Below are 19,535 nucleotides of genomic sequence, written 5' to 3' on the forward strand. Positions count from 1 at the left end.
GATCCCAGTACATATCCTTTACGTTTTGTTCATCAACTTTGATAGACAGCATAGAGGAAATGTGGAACTGGTCTCCATGTAAATTTGTCTCTAGGGAATGTATGATAGACCTACTTGTCCAGATTACATTAAGTTTGCTGTCCTGCAAACCTCCTTTCTCACAGTCAGGATCCTTTTTTGCCTTAGAGTCCTTCCTGAAGGAGCTGTTATGGATGAGAGAGCCACAAGTCCAACCTCATGATCTGATCTAAAACTGGGTGGCCTCCTCCCAGTCACCTTCTTTTATTAGCCTTATATTAACCATTAACCTTCATTGATCTTTATGATTCTGGGTTTCACAGCTTCTGTTTCTGTTGAATTCCCTAACTTTAAGAACCATGTTTTTGCTTTTATCAGCCTGGGAGCTAGGTCCCTGGAGACAAGAATTTTAGAACAGTTATGACTCTCTCTGGGAGTGTACTAAGGTTAGTCTGAATCCTTCTGGGGAATTCAGGTTTGAAGGAGTTAGAAGAGTGCTAACATCACCGTCACTGTTACCTACCAATGGATGCTTCCTGGGTGCAAGACCAAAGATGTTCTTTGGTGTCTAGTCCCTTGTCTCATGTCTAATGTAACCTGCCATTTTCCTTTACAGGTAGGAGCAACGGTGGGAATGCCCTCTGAGGAATGCAGTGATGTCCATCAGTCACCTCTCACCCAGAGCCTGGCAAATTCAGTCTCTTTCACAGAACCTAAAGCCAAGCCAGGTAGGGGCCTAAAGCCAATCAGAGGTCACTGGCCTGCTTTTGTGTGGGATGACCCTACTCCCATCCCACCCCACCCCACCCCTGGTCTTAGAGAAGTTTCTTTCTTTTTTTTTTCTTTTTTAATTTTTATTTTTTGAGACAGAGTCTCACTCTGCCGCCCAAGCTGGAGTGCAGTGGCGCAATCTCAGCTCACTTCAACCTGCGCCTCCGGGGTTCAAGTGATTCTCGTGCCTCAGCCTCTTGAGTAGCTGGGTAACAGGCGATCTTTTTTTTTTTTTTTTTTTTTTTTATGGAGTTTTGCTCTTGTTGCCCAGGCCGGAGTGCAGTGGCATGATCTCGGCTCACCGCAACCTCCGCCTCCCGGGGTTCAAGCGATTCTCCTGCCTTAGCCTCCTGAGTAGCTGCGGTTACAGGCATGCACCACCACACCCGGCTCATTTTGTATTTTTAGTAGAGATGGGGTTTCTCCATGTTGGTCAGGCTGGTCTCCAACTCCCGACCTCAGGTAATCCGCCCGCCTCAGCCTCCCAAAGTGCTGGGATTACAGGCGTGAGCCACCGCACCAGGCTAACAGGTGATCTCAGGGAAGTTTCTTATTCCGAAAGATCTCCAGAGGAGTTTCCTTAGCTTTTTATTTGACCCTATATTCTGATGTTCTGCCTTCTGATTAATAGATTCTCCCTTCCAGCTAGAGCAGGTAACCCCCTTTCTTGGCATTCCTGTTCTTTCCTCTTGTCCAGCTGTGCTAATGGATGTTCCTCTACAGTGGGTTGCTGATGTCAGTTAGTGGGTTACTCTCAGCCCTCTCCTCCAGGGCAGCTAGCCCTCTAGCCCACAACCCCATCTATATACACAGCCTTGCAGGGTCTCACTCCTGTTGCCCAGGCTGTAGTGCAATGGCATTATCATAGCTCACTGCAGCCTCAGGTGATTTCTCCTACCTCATCCTCCTGAGTAGCTGGGACTAGAGGCGTGTGCCACCATGCCTAGGTAATTTTTTGTATTTTTAATAGAGACAGGGTTCCACCATGTTGCCCAGGCTGGCCTTTAACTCCTGGACTCAAGCAGTCTGCCTGCCTCTGCTCCTAAAGTGCAGGGATTATAGACGTGAGCCACTGTGCCCAGCCCCAAAAAGCTTTTTTTTTTTTTTTTTTTTGAGACAGAGTCTTGCTCTGTTGCCCAGGCTGGAGCGAAATGGCGTGATCTCAGCTCACTGCAGCCTCTGCCTCCCAGGTTCAAGTGATTCTCCTGTCTCAGCCTCCTGAGCAGCTGGGATTACAGGTGCCCGCCACTACGCCTGGCTAATTTTTGGTATTTTTAGTAGGGACGGGGTTTCACCATGTTGGCCAGGCTGGTCTTGAACTCCTGACCTCAGGTGATCTGCCCACCTCAGCCTCCCAAAGTGCTGGGATTACAGGATTTTTTTTTCCTTCCTTCCTTCCTTTTTTTTTTTGAGATGGAGTCTTGCTCTGTCACCCAGACTGCAGTTCAGTGGCACGATCTCGGCTCACTGCAACCTCCACCTTCCGGGTTCACGCCATTCTCCTGCCTCAGCCTCCCAAGTAGCTGGAACTACAGGCGCCCGCCACCACGCCTGGCTAATTTTTTGTATTTTTAGTAGAGATGGGGTTTCACCATGTTAACCAGGATGGTCTCGATCTCCTGACCTCATGATCCGCGCACCTCGGCCTCCCAAAGTGCTGGGATTACAGGCGTGAGCCACCGCGCCCGGCCCCTTCCTCCTTTTTTATGGAACACTTTACAAATTTGCATGTCATCCTTACACAGGGACCATGCCAATCTTCTCTGTATCATTCCAATTTTTTCTTTTTTTTTTGAGACGGAGTCCTGCTCTGTCGCCCAGGCTGGAGTGCAGTGGCACAATCTCAGCTCACTGCAAGCTCCGCCTCCTGGGTTCACTCCATTCTCCCGCCTCAGCCTCCTCAGTAGCTGGGATTACAGGCGCCCCCCCACCACGCCTGGCTAATTTTTTTTTGTATTTTTTAGTAGAGACGGGGTTTCACCATGTTAGCCAGGATGGTCTCGATCTCTTGACCTCGTAATCCGCCTGCCTCGGCCTCCCAAAGTGCTGGGATTACAGGTGTGAGCCACTGTGCCCGACCTCCAATTTTTTTAGTATATGTGCTGCCAAAGCAAGCACCAAAAAGCTATTTTCTATTTCTTTCTTCTCAGTCAAGATAGGGCAGTTCTGTCCCTTCTCACTACCTCTAATCAGCTTCTTCACTTCCTTTCCAGGTTCAGTGGGAAATCCCACCTGTCCAAACACTGTGTGAGACACCAGAATTAGAGGCCTGCAAGCCTGCTTCCTTCATCCCCAATGCCCAGATGGGACAGGTCACCAGCCTCCTGTGTCTACCCCCACCTTTCTTGCTTGCTGGTAGGTGTGCTGCTCCCCCTACCCATCAACCCCAAACAGGGTTATGTTTCTCTCTCGGAGTATTTTTCTCTGTTATTAAATGTCTCCAACAAGGGGAAGGCCTTGGTGACTCGCCTGTATGTCTTCGTAACTTCCAGCCCGAATCTGTAAAGAGCCGCTAACCTCCTGGTATCAAATGTCCATCCCTTTTTCTATAGTTCATGACCATTTTTCCCATTTAGTGGGTGTGGGAATGGACCAGTAAACAGATGGTATTTGGTACTGGAGAGGGAGAGTCTAATGACAGGTAGCCTTTCTTCTGGGGGCTAGAAATCTGAAGCCACAGATGTGCATTCTTCCTAGTTGCTTGCTATCCTGGGAGAGTACTAGGATTTTTTTTTTTTTTTTTTTTTTTGAGACGGAGTTTCGCTTTTGTTGCCCAAGCTGGAGTGCAATGGCACGATCTTGGCTCACTGCAACCTCTGCCTCCCGGATTCAAGCTATACTCCTGCCTCAGCCTCCTGAGTAGCTGGGATTACAGGCATGCGCCACTATGCCAGGCTAATTTTTGTATTTTTATTAGAGATGGGGTTTCTCCATGATGATGAGGCTGGTCTCGAACTCCCGACCTCAGGTGATCCGCCTGCCTTGGCCTCCCAAAGTGCTGGGATTACAGGTGTGAGCCACTGCGCCTGGCCTACCTGGATCTTTTGAGCGAATGGTTTTATGTGTGCATTTGTTTTTAATAATATCCAGACTGTTCCGAAAGGAAAGATGATTTATCTAGTGTCTATTTCCCAGGACCAGGATCTTAGGCTCTGAGAATCTGTCCATACTCATTCCCAGATGCCTCCAGGAAGTGGAGAATAGATGGCCATAAAGCAGAATCAACTACTAGGTGTTACTGTCTTGAGCTCAGGTGTCAGCTCTCCTCTGGGGGCTGTTGAGAGTTGCAGGGTCAGGTGTGGGCAGAGCATCTCCCTGCATCCTGGGCATAGGAGGTGACATCAGCTTATCCTCTTGACCCTAGGCCTCCTCTCTCTGCAGTGCCTCTCTCATCCCTGCAATCCAGACAGCACATGCAGCAGCTCAAGTAAGTGCCACCTCTGGGTAAGGTGCTCCCTCTCCTGGTAGGCATATGGGTTGAGTTAGAGGTGAAGCAGGTGGGCTGAGGTAGACAGAGGGATAGAGCAAGTGTTAGCAAGAAACGTCCCTGGATGTAGTCAAGCAGTAAGTATGCATGGGGTACCTTGAGCACCAGCATTTATAACTTATCTTCATGTCTTCTGTCTACCAGGTTATCTGATCACACAGAACAGGCCTGCCAGTTGGGCAGCTGCAGTCATGGTTTCTGCCACACGAGGGCGCTGCTGGCCAATTAAAACTCATGCCCCTTAGCAGACAGTTTGGGGATGAGGGCACCCTTTCTCCAAAACAGGGGTCAGAAACTCTGGGGCTCTCTGGGCCCCAGAGAGCATGGGCCCAAAAAGTGAGACAAATATTTGGTACCACTTGTTCTTCCTTGAAAATGGCCTGAGACCCCTAAACACTTTGCTCTAGTGGCCTGACATCTCAATGTGCTTCCAGCTGAACTTGGGAAGCCCCCTCTTTCCAGGCACTTAACACCTTGCACAGGTGCATCTCTCCCTTAAGGTGTAGCAGGTTCCAGCTGTATGCCCCGTTGTCCCCCTGCCTTAATGGCAGTCACTTTCCGACCCAGATGGTGGAGGTGCCTGTGGTTTTTAGGGGGAAAAAATCTCTTATAATTGTTCTAAGAAAAGTGTTTTGTTAGTGAGAAAGTGTTAGGGGTGACTGAAGCCTGGGAGAGTTAGTCTCCCCGTCACCTACTCCAGCACAAACCTATAGAATTCAAGATGGTCTAGTGGATGTTTGCAGCCTCAGTGGCTGGAATACACCCCAGGACATTCCAGGGCCCTGAGCCAAAAATGGTGTCAGAAAGCTGGATAGGAGTGTGGGCTGCTTTGGGCCATGAGCCTCATACCCACCCTGTATCAGGCAGTGTTTCTGCTAGGGGTGCCAAATGGCCCTGGGGCCTCTATGGGACTGAGGACTCCACAATTGACCCTCCATCTCCATGAAGCCCTTCCAGGCTGAACAGGCTAAGGGACATGACAGAGGTTCTCCTCCTCCTTCCTACCCCCATGCCTGAGGGCCCCTCCCCAGGAGGACAGCTTGATTAAACAGTCGGTGCTGCTGGAATTACTGCACAGCTGGCGCTCCCCCCAGCACCCCGAGCAGAGCAGCAGTGCAGATTAAAATCTCCAATTAGCGTTAAAGTGAAGTGAGGAGGTGCTGAGGCTGCCAAGGAGGCCAGACGGGGGCCCTGGGTTGGCAAAACCCCCACTCTTGCCTGGATTCTGAGTGTCACCCTTAGTCACCCCTACTTTCCCAGCTCCTCTCCCAACAGCTTTCAGTGCCCATTAGTTTTGTATCGCTTGGGGCCAGAGGGCTTTGCAGAGGGGTGGAAGGGGGCAAATGCCTTACCTAAAATGCTAGGGACACCGTAAGTATGGAGGAGGAGAGCGGTCAGTGCTCATCAAGGGAGATACCCTATTCACTGCCTGCCAGGCAGCCAGGCCAAGGTGACTTCACGCTACAGCTCTGCTTCTTCTTTTTGCTTGAAGAAAAGATAAACAGGACGGGTCCTTTCAGGTCCTTTACCTATGAAGTGCTAGGGGACATGGTGCCCACATGAACATCTCTCTCTGCATATTTTATCCTATCTGACCCATCTGCTCCCACCGAAGTTATGGCTCCTTCCTCCCTCTCTCCATTCTTCTCTCAGCTTTCCTGTGGGCAGGGGTAGGCACAGCCAGGCTTGGGAGCATCGCCATGCCCTGCCACCTGGGTCCCAGCCTGCTCCTCGTTATAGTCTTCCCAGTTTGGGGAAGAGCAGTGATATGCCAAGAATGGAGGCCTCAGACTCTCCCAATCCCTGATTTTTACATGTCCCCCTATAAGGCCCCTCTGCCATCTACACTTTTGCCCTTCATCCACAAAGCCCAAAAGGAAGGCATTATAGCTAGCCATGCCCTCTGACTGCCCTCTGCCCCTTTAAGGGAAATGGAAATGGGTACCCAGCTGACTGAACCTACTCAACACCTCCAGAAATTAGACACTAGGGCATGGTGCCACCCTCCCAGGCTGGCACATGCTACCCTGGCAGAGGATCAAATAACCCCCCCATCATACCCTGCCCCATGTCTTCCTCTACTCTCTCCCTCATGCTTTCTCTCTCTCTCTCTCTCTCTGTCTCTCTCTCTCTCTCTCTCTCAGCTCAAAGCACAGCTGAGCCTTAAAAGGGGGGTTGAGGGGGTGGAGAGACCAAGCTGGGGCAGGGGGGTATAGAGCTCCAATAGCACGTTTTCACCTGCCATTTAATTGGATGTATTTTTAATTAATGGGACCTCAGGGACCAACATGAGACAATCTGATATCTGAATAGGGACAGGGGAGGGATTGGGTAAGGGAGGAGGATTGGGCCACTGGGTGCGGTTACCGGGAACCCAGGCCCATCAATCACTGGCCACTTTGCGTTCTGGCATGGAGAATAGCGAGGTGGAGGAAGGGAGGCACTGGGGAGAGGTGCCAGGATTTCCCCCCAACTGCCAGGACCTCCAAACGGATTGGAACTATACTGGTTGACTCAGGTCTGGAGCCCAAAATCACAGCCAGAATATAAGGTGAGGCTGTTTTCTTGCTCCTGGGGTTTTGTCTGGTTGGGCTTGTCCCAGGGAGTGCTGTAAAATTGTGAAAGGAAGGTGGGGACAGAGCTTTGAGGTCCTTGTAGAGAGAAGACAAGAGCTATGGACCATAGAACCAGAGACTATGGAGAGACGGAGGAGAAGGGCAGGGTTCAGAGGTATTTCTGTATGTTTTGACATAAAATAAGTGCCATGGAGATTACATGCAAAATGGCATGCAAATGAGGCCTGGTGCCTTTTGGGGTATGAATCGTAGAACCTTGCTTTTGCAAGAAAGGGAACTTGGCCAGGTGCGGTGGCTCACGCCTATAATCCCAGCACTTTGGGAGGCCGAAGCAGGTGGATCACTTGAGGCCAGGAGTTCGAGACCAGCCTGGCCAACATGGTGAAACGCCATCTCTACCAAAAAATACAAAAAAATTATCTGGGCATGGTGATGTGTGCCTGTAATCCCACCTACTTGGGAGGCTAAGGTAGGAGAATTAGCCTGGGCAACAGAGCAAGACTCTGTCTCAAAAAAAAAAAAAAAAAAAGGGAACTTGGAGCTCATCTTGCCCCACCCCTTCATTTTACAGATGTGAAAAACAAGACCCAGAGAGGGGAAATCATTTGAATCCTGTCCTGGTATTGCTTTGTGTTCCTGGATTTGGAGAATTTCTGGGAACACAGGAAAAGGAAAGGTAGGTAGGTGTTGGGGGAGGAAAGTCAAGGGAAGAAGGTATGCAGGATATTATTCTCCATTGCTTGAAGTCTCAAGTTTCTATCCCCTGTCTTAGAAGCAACTTAGGGGAGTCATGGACAGGTTCAGCTTCTATGGAGCACTATTAGGGGGACATTTCCTCTATACAGCTTGTTCCAGAGATCATCTTATCCATTTTCTTGCTTCCAAGTACACAAATCCCCTACAGCCCCTGACCCCTATGGAATTTTACCATGTCTTATAAGATCTACAGGGAAGGAAATGCATTATTTACCCCACCTCCTTAACCAAGAAGCAAATCCCCCAATCAAGACTAAATGCTGAGCTTTTTTTTTTGAAATCTTACCACATATTTCCCTGCTGCAATATAATAAGCCACTGGAGAAACTTATGCCAACAAATGTGTTAAGGAGTAGTCTTATACGTCTTGTCCCATGGCAAAGCCTAGAACAGAGATAGAATTTAAATTCAAGGCCCTGAAGGCTGAATTAGAAATGCTCCTGAATTCATGTGGTGCCATGGCCTTAGAGCTCTTAGACCCCTCTGACTCTTGTAGTGTTGATGTACACTGGAGAAAGGGGCAAGTTTCCAGCTGTACCCATCCCCAACCCCTTGCTTCCTTCAGTGTTCACATGCTAGGGTTAGGAGGGAAGAAATGAAGGAGAAAGGGGGTTCTCCCACTAGGTTGCCAAGGTGGCATTTCTTGCCATCCTCCTCCTTCCTCAGAAAATTCAACATTTTTAGTTCCATGCTTCATGAGACTAAGTTAGGTTAGGGACAAGGATAGGCACAGAGCTTGGAAAGCAGTGCCAGTAAAAACTTTATCACACTCCCCAGGCCCCCAACACCCTTCCCCCACCCAAGAGTTGCCTTCTCTTCCCCATTTTATATCCCCAAATCCCCTGAGAAGAGCAAGATCTGCCTAAGTGCCCCCCAGCCTCACCCAGCCCTTCCTTCAGACTGTGAGTCATCTCCTTGGCTGTCTCATTGCCTGCCTTCTTAACTGCAGACAGGATGAGAAGAGCTCTCCTCAGATCCCTCCAAAACAGTTTGGAAAGAATTTATCTAGGACCCCGTGCCTACTTCTAAGGGCCCCAGGGGTGTCAGCAGGGGAGGAAGGCTGTGCCAAGGGGCTGGAAAGGAAGATTCTCTTGTTGGGAGAGCAGATAAAAACCTGAAAGTGGTGACAAGGCAGAGGGCGAAGTTTGGGAACTGAGACCTGTAGTCCCACCTGTGGGGCTGGCTGCCTAATGTGTGGCAGGACATTTAGAGCAAGTATGGTTTGTAGGATTTATTAAATGGCTGCTGTTTACAGAGCTGCTGTTTCTACTCTGGAACACACAGCAGTGGAAAGGAGCATGCATTGAAGGAGAGAGGGTGGCAGGCTTTCTGTAAGCCCTCTTTTTCACCCTTTGTCCATCCCTATTCCAACATATTGCAGTCATGTTAGAGCTAGGGCTAAAAGGCCCTAAAAGCATTCAGTCTATATTCTGGGTGTTTCTCCAAGGAACAGAGCCTCCTTTCTTGTAACTCCTGTCAGATCTGCCTCCCACTCCTAAGGCTTTTTTGTTTGTTTGTTTTTGAGATGGAGTCTCACTCTATCGCCCAGGCTGGAGAGTGCAGTGGCGTGATCTCAGCTCACTGCAACCTCTGCCTCCTGGGATCTAGTGATTCTCCTGCTTCAGCCTCCCAAGTACCTGGGATTATAGGTGCGCACCACCATGCCTGGCTAATTTTTGTATTTTTAGTAGAGACGTGGTTTCACCATGTTGGCCAGGCTGGTCTCAAACTCCTGACCTCAAGTGATCCGCCTGCCTCGGCCTCCCAAAGTACTGGGATTACAGGAGTGTGGCTCAGCCTCTCATTTCTAAGGTTTAGCCAAGGGTGCCAGATCTTTGCGGGGAAGAGGGATGACTTGAAGTGAGTGGAAGTTAAAAATGGTAGTACCCAGAATTTCCTGCACTTTGGAGAAAAGAGACTAGGTGGGGTACTCAATGTTAGCCTACGGCTCAACTCTTACTCTAATAGGATCTCTTTCCTCCTTCTCCCCTAAATTTTTCCCACTGGTTGAAGAGAGATCTGGATGACTAAACCTCCCATCTTGACACCTTGGAGTTTGTTAAGCAGGTCCCCTCTCTGTAGCTTCCAAAGCCATGAAGAAGGGGAAGGAAGGCCAAGACAGGGGTAGATAGAGGTGGCAGTGCCATGGTGTCCATCAGCACCCAAGGAGAAAGGCCAAGGAGAAGAAGGTAACTAGAGAGGAAGCCAGGAGGAGATGTCTGCTCCTGAAACAGCATTCTTACCCCATCCTCTCCTGCTTCCTTGATCACATGCCGACAGGGCTGTTTGCCCAAGTGTGCCAGCTCGCCTGGCTAGTGATCCTGCTCTGCTGTGCAGGCAGCCAGCTCTCTGCCCCAGCACAGAGCACATGCTGAGGTCTCTCACACTCCTTTGCTCACTCATTTCCATGTGTCTATGTTGTGGATTCCTAGAAATGAAGGAGGGGACTGTGGGCTTGAAGATAGGAAGATGGCAGGCTCTGGGGCCCATTGGGCACATATCTGCCTGGCTGGAGGAAGGAAAGAGGGAGAAGGCTGCTGGTAGCTCAGCAAGCTCAAGGTTCTGGTGACTCATAGCAGTGGAGGTGGCTCACAAAAACAACAGAGGGGAAGGGATCCAGGCCTATTAGAGCTCTCTTTTGCCCCATATCTCCCCACTCTGAGCTCTGTGAATGAAGGTCCCTCATCTGGATTGTGGAGCAGGGGAGGCCCCAACTATAAAAAAAACAGGGAAATGGGAGAGAAGAGAGCAGGGGAAGCTGAGCATTCCCAGTGAGAGGTATCTCAGTGAGGAAAGGATAGGAGAGGCCAGTTATTCTTGCCCTACTGTATTCATTGGGTGCACAGGAGGTACGGGGCATCCATCTGTGCTAGGGTAGCTCAGTGCCCCTGGGCACTTTCCAGAAGAGGGGTTTCTAGGCAAACACAGTTACTCCTCCCTACCCTCACTTGCCTGCCCAGAACTCTAGGTACCCAGCTGACACTAAATTTTTAGAAGTAAAACAAGCTGTGTTATAACACCAGAACCTGGAAGGATAACTGCTGGGTCTCAGTCCTCTCCTTTCTGGAAACAGACACCTGGGACAAGAGAGAAGCAGCTAGGGACTCCTATGCTGGCTGAACCAAGGTAGTGGTGCAGGCTGTGGAGGTGGGTGCAGAACCATAGATCTTCAGAAGTGTCGATTTCCTCCTCCCTTGTGTGCCAGGTGGGCAGTATGCATCGTCTCCATTTTTCTGATAGAGGGGATAATAGGGTAACGGGGTTTGAGGTCACACCAGGAGAAAGAGGCCAGAAAGTGGACCAGGAGAACCATTCATGCCTTGGACTCCAGTCCCAGGGGCCTATACTGGATCTGGTAAAGAGTAACAGCTAGGATAGCCGGGCACGGCAAATCACACCTGTAATCCCAGCACTCTGGGAGGCTGAGGCGGGTGGATCACGAGGTCAGGAGATAGAGACCCTCCTGACCAACATGGTGAAACGCCGTCTCTACTAAAAGTACAAAAATGAGCCAGGCGTGGTGGCGTGCACCTGTAGTCCCAGCTACTCAGGAGGCTGAGGCAGGAGAATCGCTTGAGCCCGGGAGGCAGAGGTTGCAGTGATCTCCGAGTTGAGATCGCGCCACTGCGCTCCAGCCTTCCAGCCTGGGCAACAGAGCGAGACTCCGTCTCAAAAAAAAAAAAAAAAAAAAGAGTAACAGCGATCTTGTTTGCCAATGTATCCAGACACATAATAGTAAACATCTGGCTGGGCACAGTGGCTCATGCCTGTAATCCCAGCACTTTGGGAGGCCGACGCAGGCGGATCACAAGGTCAGGAGATCGAGATCTGGCTAATATGGTGAAACCCTGTCTCTATTAAAAATACAAAAAATTAGCCGGGCATGGTGGCAGGCTCCTGTAATCCCAGCTACTCAGGAGGCTGAGGCAGGGGAATCACTTGAACCCGGGAGGCAGAGGTTGCAGTGAGCCGAGATCGCACCACTGCACCACTGTACTCCAGCCTGGGCAACAGAGCGAGACTCTGTCTCAAAAAATAAATTAATTAATTAATTAAAAAATAAACATCCCATCTTCAGTGAAGGATGGACTAAGAGGAGGAGGGTTCTGTGACAGAGCCTGAGTTCTCATTTGCCTATTTCTGTTCTTTCATTGCTGGCAGCTCTGCTCTCCTGCCAGGATGAGGGACCTCTGCCCACTTGCTCTTGGTGGTCCAGAGATGGCTTTGGTTAGAAAAAGGACAGAAGATTAGCCACTCCTTGTGTAGGAAGTCAGGAACAGCTCCATTCCCCCAGCTCTCCCGGGCAGTATCAGAAGCCCCAGGTTGCCTGCTGGGAGATGCATAATAAAGCTCAGTCCTGAACTAAACCAACACATCACCTGGCCCTGGGTATAGAAGTAGTATTGTGAGGGGGATCTTGGGTCTTCCAGGCCAGGTGTAAGCAAATGTAGGGAGTTCAGCCCCAGGAGAGATAAAAGAATCATGCCATGGCCAGGTGCAGTGACTTATGCCTATAATCCCAGCACTTTGGGAGGCCGAGATGGGTGGATCGCTTGAGCTTAGGAGTTCGAGACCAGCCTGGGAAACATAGTGAAACCTCATCTCTACACACACACACACACACACACACACACACACACACACACACACACACACACACACAAAGCCAGGTGTGATGGCATACATCTCTAGTCCCAGCTACTTGGGAGGCTGAGGTGGGAGGATTGCTTGAGCCTGGGAGGTGGAGGTTGCAGTAAGCCAAGATTGTGCCACCATACTCCAGCCTGGGTAACAGAGTGAGACCCTGTCTCAAAAAAAAAAAAAAAAAAGAAAACATGCCACGATGCCACATGCTCCCTAATCCTCTACTTTCTCAAACCCTATTTTCTGCCTGCCTTTTCTTTCACCTCCCTTTAGCCAATTCCATTCCTGGCTACCTCATCCCCTCCAGTCTGAAAGGACGTGGTAAGTACTTGTCTGTTCCCTATGCTTTTCTCTCTCTCACTCTCTTCCTCTCCTCCCAGCTCCCAACTGAGAGCTATCCCTGTTTCAACTCTTTCCAGTGAATGCCACCAGGATCTGAACCCAAGATTCCAGCCTCGGTCACCACCCTGACCCTGAGAATGCCACTGGGATGGGGAGAACTTGTCAGTCTTCATCCTTCCCCACAAGTATACTGAAGCCAGGACAGGTATGTCCACTGCCATGAAGGGCCCTGCCCTGGAGTAGAGGGCAGCCATAGGGGTACAGTGGGGTCCCAGCCCTAAATGTGTGTATGCCTGTGCATTGGGCACACTGGTTTATTAGTGTTATTTCAGCATTGTGATGCAGAGAGAGTAAGTGTAACAGCTGCTCCTTGCTTGCAGTGTTTATTGTTACCTAGAGACAACCTCCTGGCTTTTTCCCAGCTCCCCCTCCCCGCTAGCCCAACCCCCTCCCTGCCAACAATCCTGCTCTCTCCACACTGATGGGAAATTTATAGCTTGCCCATACCATGCCTTTAACCCTCTCCTATCCATAGGGTAGATGGGCTGAGGGAAGCCAAGTGAGCAGCAGGCATGCTTGGGCACCAGCAGGGTAGAATAATGTGTGGAGGAGGGAGGGGGCAATGACACCCCTCCCCTCCATTCTATGTGTCCAGTCTTAGGCCCCTGCTGCCCTCCTGGCTCTCAGTGGAGAGAAAAGAGGAAATAAATTTGGACCCAGCCTTGAGATCCTGGAAGAGCTCCTTTGGATTTAGCCTTGGGATCCTAGCATCTCCTCACAAAATTATGATCTTCCCTGGGCATCTCTAAGCCACCAATTGGGTTGCCTGCACCTGAGCAAATACAGCAAGGTAGTATTGAAACAGAAGGGTAAATACAGAGTGGCAGAACCCTCAGATCCCTCCTTTATGTCTGAGAGAGAGGTAGCTGTAGAGATGTCTTATCAAGACAAGAGGTGCTGGCTTGAGAAATGCTGGCTGGACTTCTACAGCTGGGTAGATGTTAGACATGAAGCCGGCCGCTGAGTCTGGTGGGAGAAACTGCCCGCCTTAACATCACCCTGAGCGCAGCACTAAGATCCTGAGAGACCCCTGGGTCATTCTCTAAGCTGGTCTTTTTGATCTGGTTATGCTGCTGCTTTTTACTTTTCCTTCCTGGGTCATTTTCTCCTACACATCTTCTAGTTTGACACCTTGGGGTAGATCCAAGAGACTGAGAAGATGGAGGCATCCTAGTCATGGCCTCAACAAAGCTGGGGAAAGAAAAACTCCTTCTGTCCTCTCTTGACCTTTCATGGAGGGGCACTGTGTGTTCTACTCACCATCCTCACTGGAAACAGAAGAGAGGAAAAAGCATCAGATTTTAGCAGAAAGGATAGAGGGAAGACATATGGAAAAACTTACTCATGGGATGAAAGACTTCAGATTGGACCTGCTTCTCTTCTGAGATTTTTCTTCTGCCTGCCGGTTTGTTTTTGTGTCTACCTAAGAGGCATTGGATGAAGCACAGTTACTTTTCCAGGCCTCTTCCAGACAGCCTCAGCACAGTTTCCATACAGTGCACTGCTTCTTGGTTCTTCTAAATGTCATGTAGTATGTGTGGTGGTTAGATCACAAGTTTTGGAGACAGACAGCCCTGGGTTCCAGTGCCATCTCTGCCACTTACCAGCTGTGCTACCTTGGTAATTCACTTAACCTCTTTGAGTCCTAGTTTCCTTGTAAAATGCAGAAAAACAACTACTCCTTAAGTTTGTTGTGAGAATTTCGTGAAATAATGTGTGTAAAGCACCTACAACAGTGCCTGATACTCAGTAGGTGCTCACTCAACAGTGGCTGGTGCAAGAGTACTACTACTTTTATGAAGTTAGCAGGGCTGATATTGCTTCAAAGACTTTGTGAGTCCCCTGAGATTAAAGGCCAAATGTATGTGCACATGCTGGGGGAGAATGTAGTTTTCTACACGATGTGGAGTAGGGGTGGCCATCCTCTGGAAAGAAAGTAGTCCCAATACTTGACTCAGACTCCCCAAGAAATCAGTTACCCCATTCCTATGCCTCTCAAGCCAGAGTACCTTGGCAACTGTTCTGCCTGGAAGTTCAGCTTCATCCAGGATGGAGGGGGGAGAGATAGTCATTAGAAGGATAGCAGCAACTAGCATTTGCTAGGCACTTTACAGTTCGTTAATTACATTTATCTGCATTAGCTCTTTTGATACCCAGAACCAGTAAAGAGAACTCCATTTATTGATGCCTGTATGCCAGGCATTGTACTGAGTGTGTTTTTTAAAGTATGTTTAAAGCCTATAGAGTATTTCATCCCCTGGATATGCTGTGATTTATAAGGCTCATCCCCTATTTTGAATCATTTGGTTATTTTTTCTGTTATAAAAAATACCACAGTGAATATCCAAACAAATAAAACTTCATGCATTTTATTTTATTTTATTTACTTTTTGAGACGGAGTTTTGCTCTTGTTGCCCAGGCTGGAGTGCAATGGTGCAGTCTCGGCTCACTGCAACCTCTGCCTCCTGGATTCAAGTGATTCTCCTGCCTCAGCCTCCCACGTAGCTGGGATTATAGGCGTGTGCCACCATGCCTAGCTAATTTTCGTTTTTTTAGTAGAGACGGGGTTTCATCATGTTGGCCAGGCTGGTCTTGAATTCCTGACCTCAGGTGATCCACCCACCTTGGCCTCCCAAAGTGTTGGGATTACAGGTGTGAGCCACTGCGCCCGGCCTTCATGCATTTTAAATAGTTAATTCTGAGACATGGAATTATTGGTCAATGGATACAAATACCCACCTCCCATGGTTGTGTTCATTTTATTGATGTACACTAATGAGAATATAATATTTATTAGTCTTCCTCATTGGAATTCTACATTGGAAACACAAGGCGGCCCCTTTTCCCTCCTATACCTAAAAGAGACATTAATAATCTATCAAGGCTTTTAAAATTGAGATCATTGTAGATCCACATGCAGCTGTAAGAAATAATACAGAGAGGTCTCTTGTACATTTTGCCCACTTTCACCGAATGGTGACATTTTATAAAACTACAGTATAATGTCACAACAACCAGAATATTGACCGTGATATAACCTACCAGTCATATCCAGATTTCTCTAGTTTTACGTGTTCTCATATGTATATATATTAAGTACTATACAATTTTATTACCTGTGTAATTTTATGTATCCACCACTACAGTCAAGAAGCTGAACAGTTCTAACACAACAAGAATTCTTCATGTTGCCCTTTTATATTCACACCTCCTTCCCTCTCACCCACCTCATCCCCTCCTTAACCCTTGACACCACTAATCTGTCTTCTAAAATTTCGTAGTTTCAAAAATGGAATAATGTAGTACATAACTTTTTAGGATTGTCTTTTTTATTGTTTTAGACAGGATCTTGCTCTGTCACCCAGAATGGAGTACAGTGTCTCAATCATAGTTCACTGCAGCCTTGAAAGCCTGGGCTTATTAGCTGGGCATGGTGGCATGCTCCCATAGTCCCAGCTACTTGGAAGACTGAGGTGGGAGGATCTCTTGAGCCTGAGCGGCAGAGATTGTGGTAAGCCAAGATCATGCCACTGCACGCCAGCCTGGGTGACACAGCAAGACCCCATCTCATAAAAAAGAAAAAATGTTAAAAAAAAAAAAAAAAAGAAAGAAAAAAAAAAATCCTGGGCTCAAGCCTTAGTTTCCTAAGTGGCTGAGACTACAGGTGCCTGCCACCATGCCAGACTAATTTTTAAATTTTTGTAGGAATGTAAAATGGGGCCTTGCTATGTTGCCCAGGGTGGTCTCAAACTCCTAGCCGCAAGCAGTGTTTCTGCCTTAGACTCTCAAGTTGCTGAGACTACAGGCATGAGCCACTGTGCCTAGGTTGTCTTTTTTCATGCAGCATAATTCCCTGAGATCTGAGTTTTTATGTGTATCAATAGTTCATTCCTTTTATTTATTCCATGGTATGAATATACCACAGTTTGGCCAGTTACCTGTAGAAGGACATCTGGACTAATTCCAGTTTCTGGCTATTACAAATAAAGCTGCTATGAACATTCACGTACAGATTTTTGTGTGAACATAAACTTCTTCTTATATTACCAGGTTGCCCATCAGCAAGGTTCTCTCACTTTGTACTCATTAGCAATGAATGAAATAGCTCATTTCACTTGTTTGCTGAATGTTTTATATTCATAATTATTAAACTTCTTAATTGGGCATGGCACTACTATTATCTCCATTTTATAGATGTGGAAAATTGAGGCTCATGTTAAATCATTTTCCCAAGGTCACATGTTAAGTCACAAAGAAGAGCCTGGAATCCAAGATAATAAGGCTTTTTCCACCACAGCTGACTTTTCAGGTGGAGGCCTTTCTACACTTCACTAAGGTTGCTGAAAAGAGGGTGTGGGTGCTACTAGCAGAGAGATGTTGGGGGCAGGGAGAGCACTGGAGCAGCCTGGGTCACTCAGGTCCTCACAGCCAACTTCAGTCCATAGATCAAAAGAGCGGCACAGGCCATGTGGGGTGGCTCATGCCTGTAATCCCAGCACTTTGAGAGGCCGAGGCAGGTGGATCACTTGAGGTCCAGGAGTTTGAGACCAGCCTGGCCAACAGGGTGAAACCCCATCTCTACTAAAAATACAAAAATTAGCCAGGCGTGGTGGCAAGCACCTGTAATCTCAGCTACTCAGGAGGCTGAGGCAGGAGAATCGCCTCCACCAGGGGGTGGAGGCTGCAGTGAGCCAAGATCGTGCCGCTGCACTCCAGCCTGGGCGACACAGCAAGACTCTGTCTCAAAAAAAAACAAACAAAAAGCAGCAGTGTCATGGATCAGGGGACCTGTGCCCTTGAAATTGTTTCCCCTTTGCCAGAGAACAAGGCTAAAGTGAATGGTGCGCCTGAGCATTCTATCCAGACACCTGAGACCTGGAATGGGGAAGGGAGGACCCAGCCTTTGGATGCCTATCAGAGGATGAGATATTAAGGTCCTCTTTGGAAATGTGCTGTTGAATGTGTTTATGAGGCCTGAGGAAATTGAGACCTATGATAAGTGAGCTCTCTATTCTGAGGGGTAAGGGAGATATAGCACTTTTTGTTGTTTTTGAACAGGGGAACTATAGTTCATTTACAAACCCATACATCCACATACACCCCTTGGGCAGGCTCAGTGTCTAGGACGTGGTAGAGAGGGCATGAGCACAGTGGAAGCAAAAATGCCAGTTCAGTGCTTAGTGCTGACTTTACCACCGTTCTTCATGGCAACTGAACTCATGGACAGCTCAGGAGAAGCTAGAGAAATTGTTTTGTCTGTCACTCAGCCTCTGGGGCACTGGTTGAAGCTGACAGGTGGAAACCTAGAGTTGGCCCAGACATGATGAATGCAGAGATGCCAATTTGTAGGAGAGTAGGTTTGGCTCCTCTCCTGGGAGTTCTGTCTGGCCAAAGGCTCCCACCTCCCACCTCCTGCTGGAGCTGGCTCTTTTATAGTTGATGTTACCATTGCTCTCTTGGCCTATTCCAGCAGCTGTGGACTCCTAACAGTTTTCCCCACTCACTTACAGCTGCAGAATCAGGCTAAGATTACGTATCACTCCTCCATCTTCTTGGGCCCATCAGGAACAGCATATCTCCCAGTGGTACCCACTGTCCCTGCCCAGTAGTCCCAGCCATGTGGGATATAAACACTGAGGCTAGACCTGGAATGGGGACTATAAGGATTATTTATTTTTTTATTTTTTTGAGATGGAGTCTTGCCCTGTCACCCAGGCTGGAGTGCAGTGGCGCGATCTCGGCTCACTGCAACCTCCGCCTCCTGGGTTCAAGCGATTCTCCTGCCCCAGCCTCCCAAGTAGCTGGGATTACAGGCGCGCACCTCCATGCCCAGCTAATTTTTGCATTTTTAGTAGAGACGGGGTTTCACCATGTTGGCCAGGCTGGTCTCAAACTTCTGACCTCGTGATCCACCCGCCTCAGCCTCCCAAAGTGCTGGGATTACAGGCGTGAGCCACCGTGCCCAGCTGGGGACTATAAGAATTATATAGGCACCACACTTTATCATCGAAACAACTAGAGATACCCATTCTGAACCTCTGTCCTCTGGTTGGGAGTTCTTAGACAAAGGGAGACCACTCTTTACTAGCTCTTTCACCTCTACCCACTCTGAGATTTTCTGGCTCTGGGAGGTCCTGACTGTGGCTGGGAAGACAGCTACCTTCTCTTAGAGCCAAGATGGTGAGGAAATCTCAAGACCCCTCCCTGCCTTGTTCCCTTTCCTTGGCTGCTTCTCTATTCAGGTCCCCACCTCTCCTGGTACCACTCCATTCCCATTCCTTCTTTCTGTTTTCCTCTCTCTCTCAGCAAGTTTTTTATGTGATTACAGGCACTGCATGGTAATTAGTGCTAAACTCATTTGCACAACTACAGTTAATTGGCTACAACAATTAATTAATGTGTTGGAAATTTGGCACTGGAAAAAAAAGTTTGTCATCAAAAAAAGGGCAAAAAATTGTAGAGTGAGGTACCCATAAAAATCGAGGGTAGGCTTCAAAAGCCCAGCTGGGCCTCAAACTTCAGGCCTGCCTCAGCTGCTTTTCCACTCTCAACTTCAACGCATTTTCCTCTCTCATTTTTTTCCTCCTTTCTTTCTCTGTCTCTCTCTTCTCCTTTTTTTTTCTTTTTCTTTTCTTTTTTTTTTTTTTTTTTTTTTACAACTTAAGCAAACTCATTTCCCTGATAAAATATAGCATGACTAATGGCTAGAGCATGTAAAAATCATTGGGAAAATGTCCTTGGAAGACGAATGCATTTTCAGCAGAATAATTAACTTAATTAACAAATTCACATGCATATTCATCAGGCTATTAATGTCTTCTCGGCTCAGCTTGATGAACATTGCGGTAATAACCATCTCATTTACATACTGCATTCTACT

The 19,535-nt window shown here is 48.3% G+C and overlaps 1 protein-coding gene and 1 pseudogene across 46 annotated transcripts in view; one reads left to right on the forward strand and one right to left on the reverse strand.

Annotated features, from left to right (window-relative positions):
* CDK12 (cyclin dependent kinase 12) overlaps positions 1-19,535 on the forward strand; it is a 106,074-nt gene that overhangs the window by 82,129 nt on the left and 4,410 nt on the right. For 12 of the 46 annotated variants that reach the window (XM_011524893.3, XM_011524894.3, XM_047436265.1 and 9 more), the window contains 5 exons: positions 635-746; positions 3,003-3,144; positions 4,154-4,216; positions 7,424-7,528; positions 12,672-12,799. In XM_011524893.3, coding sequence (XP_011523195.1) covers positions 635-638 — 4 coding nt within the window. In that variant the 3' untranslated portion in view covers positions 639-746; positions 3,003-3,144; positions 4,154-4,216; positions 7,424-7,528; positions 12,672-12,799. Of the gene's footprint in view, positions 1-634; positions 747-3,002; positions 3,145-4,153; positions 4,217-4,420; positions 6,828-7,423; positions 7,529-12,525; positions 12,574-12,671; positions 12,800-13,249; positions 13,445-19,535 lie in introns of all 46 variants that reach the window. The other 34 variants (XM_011524898.3, XM_047436257.1, XM_047436269.1 and 31 more) reach the window with 8 other exon arrangements.
* On the reverse strand, positions 2,490-2,630 carry RNU6-233P (RNA, U6 small nuclear 233, pseudogene; annotated as a pseudogene).

This window comes from Homo sapiens, chromosome 17 (assembly GCF_000001405.40).
Source record: "Homo sapiens chromosome 17, GRCh38.p14 Primary Assembly".
NCBI lineage: Eukaryota > Metazoa > Chordata > Mammalia > Primates > Hominidae > Homo > Homo sapiens.